Consider the following 12,477-nt stretch of genomic DNA (forward strand, 5'->3'; position numbering starts at 1 on the left):
TCCGTCAAGTTGTCCTTGGCTGGACCTAACCATCAATGAGAAAATGCATGCACAGGCTGGGAGGAAAATCATATTACGTGTTATGTGGAAACAAAACAGAAAAGTACTGGCCTTATTAGGTTACCACTTAAGAACCCTGCCGCTTAGGCTGGTGTCTTGGTTTGAGTCTTCCCCATAGCAGAGCCTAAGACAAGGACTTAGACTTGGGGGCAAGTGGTTTATTTGGAAGGAGATATCAGGAAGCTGAAATAAATGAGCAGAAGAGTGAGAAGAAGGAAAGGAAACATAAGGCTGTGTTATAAATGTGGGTTTTTTCTGCCGGGCCCTCTGAGAAGCAAACCAAACGCCCTGCAGTCATCCCCTTCCACCTCTCCCACTTCTGGCCAAAGACAAGAGGCTGAAAATTTTCTCCAACAGCTTCCCATTGTCCTTGGTTAATGATTGCCCAAGGACAAAAATCCCTGCCTCTTCCAGTGTCCTCTTTCCTGAGCCAAATCCCAGGAAAACAGGAGATAGCTGCCAGCAAGAGATGAGTCTCTGAACTCTGAGAGATTGTCCACTGACACAGTGGCTGAAATCAGTAAGGGGCCGAGAGGAAGAGATGCAAAGTACCAAAAGCATCTGCCACTGCTCAGCGTTGAAAGTGGCCATACAAGTTCACATGGTGTCCTTGTTTTCAGTTCCTATGTACTTGTAAGTGGCAGCCACAGAGTAGAATTCAGACTTCCTGTCTCCAGAGAAGTGAAGCTTTTCTTCTTCATCATGCCTCCTGCAAGAATTCAACCTTCAGCAAATCAACTCATCCACTTTTCAATTGCATCATGATGAGTAGGGTTGAAAGATAATATCTGTCACCACCCTCAAGAAGTGTGTAATTCACTGATAGAAACAGACATATAAAGAGATCGATTTTAATAGCATAGTGAGGATGAGAGAGGTACATACACAGACACAAGGCACTAGAAAAAGGCAGAGATGGCTCCCTGAGCCCAGCCTAGAAAGTGGAACACAAATGCCTGAAGGGGGCGTTACAGGTGCATAGAAGAACATGAAAAAGACCGTAGTAAAAAGCAAACCACCATGCTGTGTGCTTCTGTTTTTCTCGTTTGTTTCTTCCAACTGTTTTTGAATTGACAAATAAAAATTTTATATATTTATGGTGTACAACGTGGTTTAATTTTATGTGTACATTGTGGAATGGCTAAATCAAACAAATTAACATATGCATTACCTCACACTCAGTAATTTTCAAGTATACAGTATATTGTTATTAATTATAGTCATCATGATATATAATAGATCTCTTGAACTTATTCTTCCTGTCTAACTGAAATGTTCCTCCAACTTTTGGAACTGATGATAGCTTTTTCTTCACAGTTTTTAGGTGTAATAACTTTCACGTTTCATCCCATGAAGACAGGCTATTTCTGTCTTTCTTATTTCTCTACTCCCACTACAAACTTAAGAGACTCTCCATATTTGGTAAATGATTTAAAGAATGAAGGAAGGAGTGATTTTTATAATCTCTTTAAATTCTATAACCTACAAGAATATTAGGATCATTTCTTATTAGAAAAGACAGATTCATCAATTGGTGGCAAACATGAAACCCAGGAGGTTTCACACTGTATCTCTAAGACACTTAATATTTATCTTCCCTGAAACCATAGGGAATTGATGTTCCAGAAAAAAAATCATTTTACGTGTGTTTTTGTCATCTAAAAAGTATGTTTTGAGTAGTTTATTAGAATTATTTGGATATTTATGAATATTAAGGCTTTATTCATCACAAACAATACGGAAATAAGGGGAAATATGAGAGTCCCTTTGCTTCTCTCTAAGTTTTTAGCCTCTTCTTGAATATGTGCCCATGGTGCCTGGTGCCTGCAAGTGTTTTTTGTGAAGGTGGGTGGTTTTGATGCCCTGCTCATGGCATTGGCCGTTAATTGAACCTGACCTTGGCAAGTACTGTCGACAGTAACAGTAGCTTGTCTACATTCCCAATTCAACAACAGCCATGTGCTTTAAGGTTATGTTTTTTATTTTTACTTTTAATTTTGTATACTTTGGTAGCATTCAATTTATATGTCTGAATTATTTTTTAATTTAAATATAAACTAGTATATCAGTTACTTATCCAAAGGAATAATTCTTGGTCTATTTTTAAAGCATTTTTGTTGAATTGGTGATAGATTGGTTCAGACACATCTATAGTTAAGAGGCTTTGGTTTAGTTCTGAATTACAGCAGGAAGTTGCAAAATACTATATAAGCTCAGGAAAGTAGTCTATTTTCATGGAGCAAATTTCAGCTAGCCAATTTTTCTAGAACAGTCAACTTGAAGATTTCATCCTTTCCACAAAAACTAATTGATTATCTACTATGGGTCAAACATTGTGCTACATGTTTATTCCAAATATCAATAGGTTCAAAATTAAATTTGCTATTTATATTATATTGGAAAACATTTTGAAGCTTCATAATGTATGCTAGGTCTATAAATATACTAGAATGAAGGACAGCAATCAGTCAGCATGAAACCATTCTTTTTGTATTCTACAGCTAACTGAACAAGGAAGGAAGAAAAGTGATGTCTGAGTTTGCTAATATGTTACATATCTATGAGCACCAGAAATGAGGTCTAATAGTTAACAATTTATAAATCAAAGAAAGATTTATCCTGGGAAATTGATTTCTATTTGAACACGAATGTATTAATAAAAATTCTGATATAAGTAGAATAGTTTCATATTTACCAGTATCTTGGCATGGTCCCTTTAACCACTCTATTTTTGATTATTTAAATTAAAATGATAAAGAGAAAGGGAAAAGAGATAGAATATTAAGAAAATTACCACTGGAATAAAGACGTTTGAATAGATTTAATTTAAATGACTTTAAACCATTTTAGAGAATTATTCTGGTCTGATTCATTAATCTAATATTATTATAAATGATTACATTAATTTTACTAAATCCTTTTTATCAACAATGTGATCAACTTGGTAGATAGATGAAGAAAAACACAAAAATCAAATCTAACTAAGTTCAAAGTTGTGACCAGAACCTAGTCATGTCAGTTATTTATAATCATAGAGTTTGAGCTTAGGAAATAAAAATATAGTTATGACCTTTAAAAATTGTTATGGAAAATATCCTATCTCACCAATTTCTCTCTTCTTAGTATTCCCTTATAGCCATTTTTTTCTACTTTGCATTATTTTAAGCTTTTATGTTTTAAGTATAGATGAGCTTTTTTATTTACCAAAAACTCTCCTTTCTGCCTCAAACACCTTTTTCTCTGTGTCTCTTTCTCTCGTTCACTTTTACATACACACATACCACACATGCAGTCTTCTTATTTTCGGTCCTATAATCAATGAACCGTGAAACATTTGTTCTTTGTCGCTTCCCTTTTTCACTTTTTAGAAAAGGAATATTATATCTGTTTCTACATAAGAAAGTCAGTGGAAATTTGAAGTAAACTTCTAGATGACTATCCATAGTATACATTTTTTTAATATCAAGAAAACCAAAGCACATGTCAATTTTATGCCCCTAATTATTCAAAGTTTGCCTTCACTATACTTATTCCAAATGATAATTGTGAAGAAAAAGCAGCATTTGTAGCCTTTCTTCTCAATGATATTGAACATACCTTTTATCGTGGAGCTGCTGGAGAAAAACAGTAGAATTCTCCTGTTGTTGAATCAAAATCAAATTCCATTTTCCAGAGATTGTTTCATATTTGTTCCTAAAATAATAATGACAGCTCCTCACATCCAAATAACATGCAGAAAAAAATATACATGCAATTGCCAGGAAGAACTAAAAATTTTTTCAAAACCTTTCTGGGTTCTCTAATTTCTATTTAGAAAGTCACTGAAGTGGCAAGACTTCAAATAAGGAAATTCCCCACTGATTGTAAGTTTTGTAACTTATACTGGATCAGAGAAGCCTGAAGAAGCTGGGATCCCTGGGGACGCACCCTAGGAGGTTATCTCTTCTGCAGTAGTGACTTTCCTCTCTACATAGAGAATGTTCTATAGGACTGACAAGCCCCTATGAAAATAACTTGGATTTTAGATATCATAAAAAAGTGCGATGCAAATCCTCTTCCCTTCTATTCTTTCTATTCCTAGCTTCATGGAATCAACCTATTTCCAATCATTTTTCTCTACAATCTTGTAACTTTAACTATAAAAGGAGACACCATCCCATTGTTTATTTTGTGTTTATTTAGAAACTTCTATGATTTCTAATTATTTACAAGGAAAAGGAATCACTCTTTTAAAATATGCAGAGTGTAAACATAAAGGACAATAAGAGAGAGAAAGGAGACACAATATCAAGAAACGCACAGCTGGAATAAAAATATCTTGAAAAGAATGAACCTGTCTATAATTATGCCCACTTCTTCTGTAGTTATTTAAAGATTACCCCATGAATTGAAAGAGGAAGCTTAGGTGATTCATTACAGTAAGAAAAAGAATAAAAAAACAGAGTTATGCTAACTTTCTTTTGGGTCTCCCACCTTCTACATCTCAACTACTACCTAAATGTATATCACAGCATCATTAGCCTGGTCTTGTAATTCACAGTGGCCATCTTCCCCCACTCCGGGAGGACTTGATCTATTTAAAATGGGCTTCAGCCTTTCCAAGTTCTACCTCTTTTTACTGAATTCCTTGGTGTTTCCAGTATAGAGACAACAGAGGAAATACAATGGGTTCAAAAGCCAGATACATATTTTCCCAACTGTAACTTCCATGAATCCCACAATCCCCAAAGTATAAAACCCACATTCACACCTTGTGATTCTTGCAAGTGACTCCCATCTGGGAATAAGGTGTGGGTAAAGATGAATGAGAAGAACTTAGCGAGAGTCAGGGCTGTAACTTCACTTGCTTTAGAGGCAATGCCAATCATTGGTATCTGGTCACATATTTGGTATTTAATACACTTATTTTTGTTTTTTGGTTTTGGGGTTTTTTATGATTAATTCATTTTATTTTATTTTTTTAATTTGTCAATTTTTTATTTAAATAGGTTTTTGGGGAACATGGGGTGTTTGGTTACGTGAATAAGTTCTTTAATGGTGATTTCCAAGATTTTGGTGCACCCATCACCCAAGCAGGGTACACTGTACCCAACATGTAGTCATTTATCCCTTGCCATCCCCTACCTTCTCCCCTAAGTCCCCAAAGTCCAATGTATCATTCTTATGCCTTTGCATCCTTATAGTTTAGCTCCCACATATTAGTGAAAACAACGATGTTTGGTTTTCCATTCCTGAGTTACTTTACTTAGAATAATAGTCTCCAGTTCCATCCAGGCTACTTTAAATGCTATTATTTCATTCCTTTTAATTGCTGAGTAGTATTCCATGGTATATCATTCAGGCTGGTTCCAAATTTTTACAATTGCAAATTGTAATACACATATTTTTGATAGAATAAAGAAGTGAAGAAATGAAAGTACAGTAGCAACACATCAAATAAAACAGATACCTGGAGGCATAAATATGGCATCTTGGAGACACATTTTTTTTTGGATAGACTAAGATAAAACATTGATGCTGTTGACTTGTCTCAGCTGTAAGTCAGCCACATCTGGCCCTCATCTCTCTCTTGGCAAAATTTCTGCTAAACTTTATTAGTTTTCAACTTTTCTCTTGTTAATGACTTCAAATTTTTCTCATTATTAAATAATTTAGTATAGTGTCTGATCAAAATCCTTCTTTGAATTGTGATAGAGAAATCAAAGTGAAAAAATAAAAGTCATTTGCAAAATCACTGTGGTGACTCAGCTGTCGAAAATAATTCAAACTGGACTTTCGATATACTAACATATAGCCCCAAATAGTATCAAAATTATTATTTGACCACCGGAAGAGGCCTACTAAGTATCCCTATCCATAATAGAATTTAAGTCATTTCTTAACCAGAAAATACACAAAACAAGTCTATGTACTGAAATTGACCTGTATACTAAGTAGGAATAAGGAAATTTAGTCCTTTTGTTCAAATCTATGAAAAATTGCTTCCTTTTTGGGCGGATCTGTTCCAAAAAGTGTTTTGTTTGACTTTACCAAATCTACCATTTGTTTGAGATTTAGTCTGGATCTTTTCAAATGAAAAACATGAAAGTTTAAGAAAGCTTTGCTCAATACCACACAAAGCAAAATATTTCTTCAACATAGAATTTACTACTCAAGCATTTTTTTTCTAGTTAACTGCACAAATCAGATTTACTGGATTTTAATGAAAGTAATTATATTAAGAATTAACAACATTCTTCAAATTGTGGCTCATAAAATGTTTGCTAAATACCCCATTTAATACTTCCATTGAAAATTTCCTATTCATTTCTTAACCAGAGTTACGGAGAAACACATTAAATTATATTAAGTTCAAGTGCCAAGTAATTAACAAAAAAAAAAATTTGTTTAGTATGTCTGTTTTATATGACCCTCAATATTTAATCATTTAAATCTCACTTCTAATTATGTCTATTAATATTATTAAACAAACTTTAGCCTGACAATAAATACAAATTCCCAAGTAAGTATTAGACCACTCTAGGGTATAATAGTATTTCTAATCTGATGTTTACCTATGTTTTGTTTTTCATCTACAACACTGACTTTTTTTTTAAGTGGACACAGTAGTTGATTGTGAAGTATTTGAATGTCACACAAGAAATATAAATGTGGGTGCTGACCTCAAAGCACACAGAAGCTAGGGATGATAGGGTTTTCACATAGTTTAAGGCAGATTCTAATCTGAATGGTACAGCCAAAAAATAATTTTTTTAAGGGTAGAAGTCTTTGTTGACTGAAAAATAGTTAAGCTCAAAAAAAGGGTGAAAGTCGACCTTATCTACTGAAGACAATGAGACAATGACAGGAATTCTAGGGGTCCCATATTTGCAGATACGGAGGTTGGGTACGAGTTAAAAGGTCACAACACAGATGTAGATGTGATGCTTTTCATCATCAAAAGCATGGTAAAAACTCTAAGTAGATAAAACTCTGTGAAGGGATTGGTGTAAAAAGGAGAAGAGAAAGCTAAGGACCAATCCTTGAGACACTCCAATGACTGTGATGTAGGAGGGAAAAGCGGGACCCGTGAAGAAAAGATTGAAGATGTTGTGGTGACACATAATAGAAGAGCAAGAAGTTTTTCAAAGACGAGGTTCTCAAGAAAATCACATGCAGCTGAATGACCCAAGAGGTGGAAGATTTTAAAAGGCCATTTATTTTCACTAGCAATATGTCACCAATGAGCCATTTCAGGAGTCTATGTTCCAGTAGGCTAAGATTCAATTTCAAAGTTTACAAATAAAATGAAATGAAAAAAATGAGAGTAAGCATAGACTACTCATTATAAGAGTTGATCATGAAAAGAAATAAATTTTAAGTTTATTAAATAGGTATCAATATCCAAAGAAAAACGTTGATTTCTTTAAGGCAAGTGATCCCTGGGCATGACTGGTAACAAGAAAGAATTTAAAAAGGAAAGACTGAGGACCCTAAGAAGAGTGGAGTGTGGCAAGGTGTGGGAGCAATGTCTGAAAAGCCACAATCAAGGATGTGTCCCAAAGCAGAGAAGAAAGGTTGACTTTTAAAATTAGAATAAAAGTAATACTGGTTAACATTTATTGAGCAGTGATTATTTGCACAGAACTGTTTAAATGCTGAATGTACATTATCTCCTTAACTACTTATGAAAACCTTACAAGGTAGATATCATCATTCCCACTTCCCCTACAAAGAAAGTGAAACCAAAATAAATTAATTCCCCATGATGTCCTAGAAAGTGTGAGGTGGTGTCCAAACACAGACCTATCTGACTCAAGCTCATGCACTGAAAATTTCTGTTTCTGATTCATTGCTCAGTGTCACAAGGTGTAAGAACACAATTCTAACTTTGTTTGAGTGGTAGAAGTTATGTTCTTAAAGCTAATATACTAACATATAATTTGAACACTCACAGCTTCTGAAACTGAAAATACACATTCTTCATCCAATGTTTGCTGTATAGTGTATGCTCAGAGGGGACTCTGAAAGTGGAAAGGGATAAATTCTTACTCCTAGGGCAATTCCTTCTAATGAGGAGAAATCCCTTGATTTCCTTGGGTGGGGTACACAAACAGAGAAAGATATTAAATAAGGCTTATTTTTATAATTTTATTTCAAGGAGAAAAAAAAATCTCTTCTACTATGCCACCTCTTTTGTGAATATTGGAGTGGTGTATAAACCCTGAACTTACGCCTCTCTCCTGAGCCAACTCTAACCACACTAAGCCCTATCACCATGAGGAGGTGATAGGGCTTTTTTAAATAACTTTTTGAGAAACAAAAGTTATTAAACTGAAGAGAAATGTTATCTCAATCATCATTCTGGTGCTAAATCCAAAAGATTCTTTTCAGACTTTTTCACTTCTCTGTAGAATATGAAGCTGCTCCTCATCCCTTCTAGTCGTTCTCACCTCCCTTTGTTTTATTGACTATAGTCATTTAATAAATCTACATGCTTTTCACATACTTTTCACAGGCTCCTCTCCTCTACCCACCCTCTAAATGTTGGAGCTTCTTTGCTCATCTTCTCCTTTCTGTTTCTTCACACTGTCCCTAAAAGGTCTCTTCCTCTCTACTGACTTGAACTACCACCTCTATGCTGATGAGTTCCAGAAGCATATCTTTAGCTTGGACCTCTCTGCAGAGCTCCAGATACATATGTACTATCCTAAACCTCCCTCTCTGGGTGTCCTGTAGAGGTACCCCATCATTTTCACAATAAACTGTTCCTCCTGTATAGCCATTCGTTTGATCAAACACTCAGTCGAGACAGAAAATTAGTTATTACCTTTGAGGGTGTTTTCTTCTTTATTCATCTCCTCTTCACATTCAATTCAACCAGTAAATTCAGTAAATTCTGTTCTAAGTATTCCTCAAATCTTCTCTTCCTCTTCATCCTAATGATCACTGTCTTATTTCAGGAGTCATCTTTTCTTGCATGGACCAGTTTTTAACAGAAAACTCTGGTGTCCCTGCCTCCAGTCTTGGTCACTTCCAAATCTGATCTGCACATGGCCTCCAAAGTGATATTTCTAAAATTCAGATTTAATCATATTACTCGTATTCATAAAATCATCAACATCTTCCCATTGATTTATAGAAAAATTCAATCTGTTAAGGGTGCTATAAATGATGCCATACAAGGCTCCTACCCTTTACTCTCATCCTCAATCACTCCCGTATTTTCACTCTAGGTCCCAACTTTACAAAAATGATGTGTTGTTTCCAGAATGTGCACACTCCCTGCCCAATGACTGAAATATGGCTGCCCTCCATCACTGTGGGTTGCCTGTTACTCCCCCACCACAATTACCTTCTCCAGAATGCCTTGTCTCATCCTGTCAACCCAGCTTATGTGCCTTCTCTATAGCCTCTTAGAGTCTATACTTTCTTTCATTGTAACCTGCTCGGTTTATTACTAACAGGTTTACCAGTATCATTAGAATCTCAGTCACTTAAAGGTAAATAATGGTATCTGGAAGCAGTAGAATATATTAATTAAGAGAAGCAGATTTGGAACAAAATAAACTTGGATTTGACTCCCGAAACATCCACTTACTTAATAATTGTTTATGTGCAGAGGGGGCCAGGTAGGTTCATGTCTCTGAACTCTAGCCTCTGTATCTATAAAATATACCCGATCATACCTTCTTCTGAGTGTTTTTTTTTTTTTAGGATTAAAATGAAATAGTACATAGTAAGACCTTGACATAGTACTTGAAGCATGTTAAAATGATATTGTCTTATCCCATTTTGCCCAACATGTAGCCACCTAGCTACTACATCGTAAGTATTTAGAAAGTACATACATTTGTTACCAGTGCCCCATGATAGCAGTGCCTGATGAAGTCATAATGCAATGGAGAGCAAATAGAACAAGTGGAGTCTTCTGAATCCTAATGCACTTTACTGATTCTAGAAAGAATAAATGAGAGGCTATGCAAAATCTCAAGCTCAGCTAAGGAATATATTTTGTTGAAGGTTTGTGCTTCCATTTTATGGTGATTGGAAAGGGACTGAGCTAGAAAGAAACTGAGCTAGAAAGGAGCTCAGTTCCTCTCCAATCATCACAAAAATTTACATTCCATAGTATGCAACATCTTGTCAGGAAAAACAAATATAATCCTTCACATGCAATCTTTGCTCACAATTATGAGATACTGTCTTTATGGGTCTAAATCAGAAATACTGTCTTCTTACAGACTCTTGATGTGATCTGTGCTCATCCTTAATCCTTGGTAAAGTTCCAAAATGGCTCTGGATCCTACTGACATCTGTTACTAAGGATAATGCATGAAGGAGATGAAGATATCTGTTCTCAATAAACAGAGAAAACATTACTAAAGAAAATGTAGATCAATTTCAGATCTCCTTATCCATAGATAAGGAAATGCAAGTTATTAGAGACCTATGAAAAATTGCTGTTCAGACATAAAGATGCATCTTTTTATTTCAGATCTTTACCACTTAAGTTTAGCCTAGTATTTTTTAAGGCCAATGAAACAGTTGGTGAAAAAGAATAAATGCATTTGTGATCTCCAGTGTGTTCTCTCCATTCTAGCAAAAAAAAAAAAATTCCAAAAACACTTGTTCATACAGCTACAAGTTTGAGGCTTTTCATAGGAAATAAGATTTGAGGTCTAGACTAATTGATTTTATAGCTTCACAACTGAATTTTGTAATGTAGCCACAGGTCCATACACAGCAGAAGCTTAGATTAATCCTTTCCAAAAATAAAAGGAAAAAATCCATGTGAATCACTTCTAAATGCCTCTGTATTGCAAATGAATGATGTTTGGGTGTGCATTTATACTACTTGTCTAAGATAAGACCTATTTAACAAGATATAGTTTATACCTCATTAAAGCAACATCTACTTCTCTTGCTTGGTTACTGGTCTTTCACAGCCAGTCCAATTGGCCAATATAAAATACACTTCCATTCTGAAACCTAAGTTCCACAAGAGAAAGAACATTTTTCTTTTTAAGTAGATGTATTTCATTATCTTTAAGAGTTTATATTATATACATGACATTACCCCCATTTAATTTTTGTGCTGGTCAGGGATTATTCAGTGATGAAAAAAGTTTTCCCAAATGAGGGCAAATAAAAACATTTTTGCTGGAAGACTATAAAGGACAACTTCATAGACATTCAAAAGTGAAAAATAAAATACACCCAGACCTCTTATAAATATATTGGGAACTGGAAAATCAGAAACTGAGATCATCTCTCTTAATTCACATGATTTCTCATCTCCTTCTCACTAGTACACTTTACCTCCTGATTTCTGGTCCAATCCATTGAACCCATTTTTTTCACTCAATGTGAGTAAATGTCATATAAAAGGTTGCAGGAAGATGCTGCTTCAGGCCATTTTCTCTAAAAGAGACTTGTAAGTACAGAGGTCATTGAAGTTTCATGAACTTCTTTATCCTTTTTGATCAAGTAGCAGATTACCTCTAACTAGTCCACAGCTTCCACATGGAAGATGGACAAACATATAGAAATGGGGAAGAAAGAAGAACCAACACACTTGTCAGCAAATTCAACCTAAGTCAGCCTCTTTTCAATGGGCTCATGGGAAATGAAGCATTTCCTGGGACACAGAGGAGGGAGAGAAAAATCTCCCATTATTGGGGATTGAACCATAAGAAAATGTTGTTTCATGGCCCCAAATGGCCAAATACCAACATATTATGTGATCCAACTAAATCACAATGGTATAATCAAACAAGTTATTCTGATTATTACCAATAGAGACACTAAAATTTTGGCTGTGTATTAAACCCTCTTGCTTTTCACATCTTCTCAATGTATTTATTTTATAGCACATCTGGAACAATCCTTTTATTTATTAATGAAGATCGTCTCAATTGCCAAAGTCTATATTTTTCTTCCACTTAATGAAAAATATCCAAAGTTGCTGGTTATGGGCCCATCAGAGATTATTTTCTCTTAATCATATTTCATTTAAAAAAAACTAGTCAGTTCATTTTTCTAAAAAAAAAATGCATGTTCAGAAAAAAATACAATCACTGAAAGCCCAAATTTCCAGTACAATTTAATAACAAAAAAGGACGGAGTGGAGTAGGATAGTCACATGGTTCCTGTTATCCACCCCCAAGCTTAAGAAACAGGGAGGTCTAAAATGTAGTGTGGAAGAGTAAAAACAGCATGACCTGCTTTCAGTTCCAAGTTCTTCCTTCTACTGATTGTGCAGTCTTGGGCATGCTGATGAATCAAATCAACCTCTCTGGCTGCACATGGAAATTGAGGAATGAAAATACTTCTGAGGTAGGGTTGATGTGAGCATTGGTTGAGACAATGCCTTCATTTGTTGAGTTTCTGTTATGTGCCAGCACTTTACTACAACAGAGATGCAATAGTGAAGGA

General features: G+C 35.1%; 1 long non-coding RNA gene across 1 annotated transcript in view, besides 1 other annotated feature; it reads right to left on the reverse strand.

Moving 5' to 3' along the window:
- The window catches only part of LINC00158 (long intergenic non-protein coding RNA 158), a 45,882-nt gene extending 35,077 nt beyond the window's left edge, over positions 1-10,805 (reverse strand). Inside the window, exons 1-3 of the long non-coding RNA NR_024027.2 lie at positions 10,282-10,805; positions 8,870-9,113; positions 3,658-3,753 (exon numbers count right to left, since the gene is read on the reverse strand). This is a non-coding gene — a long non-coding RNA (long intergenic non-protein coding RNA 158). The remainder of the gene's footprint in view (positions 1-3,657; positions 3,754-8,869; positions 9,114-10,281) is intronic.
- Positions 650-849: an enhancer, noted in NCBI's record as "active region_18304". NCBI's record gives its function as "activates an Ori minimal core promoter by ATAC-STARR-seq in GM12878 lymphoblastoid cells {active_cell/tissue: GM12878}" and the evidence as "EXISTENCE:reporter gene assay evidence [ECO:0000049][PMID:35858748]".
- Positions 10,806-12,477: the final 1,672 nt, after the last annotated feature.

The sequence above is a fragment of the Homo sapiens genome, chromosome 21 (genome assembly GCF_000001405.40).
Source record: "Homo sapiens chromosome 21, GRCh38.p14 Primary Assembly".
Taxonomy (NCBI): domain Eukaryota; kingdom Metazoa; phylum Chordata; class Mammalia; order Primates; family Hominidae; genus Homo; species Homo sapiens.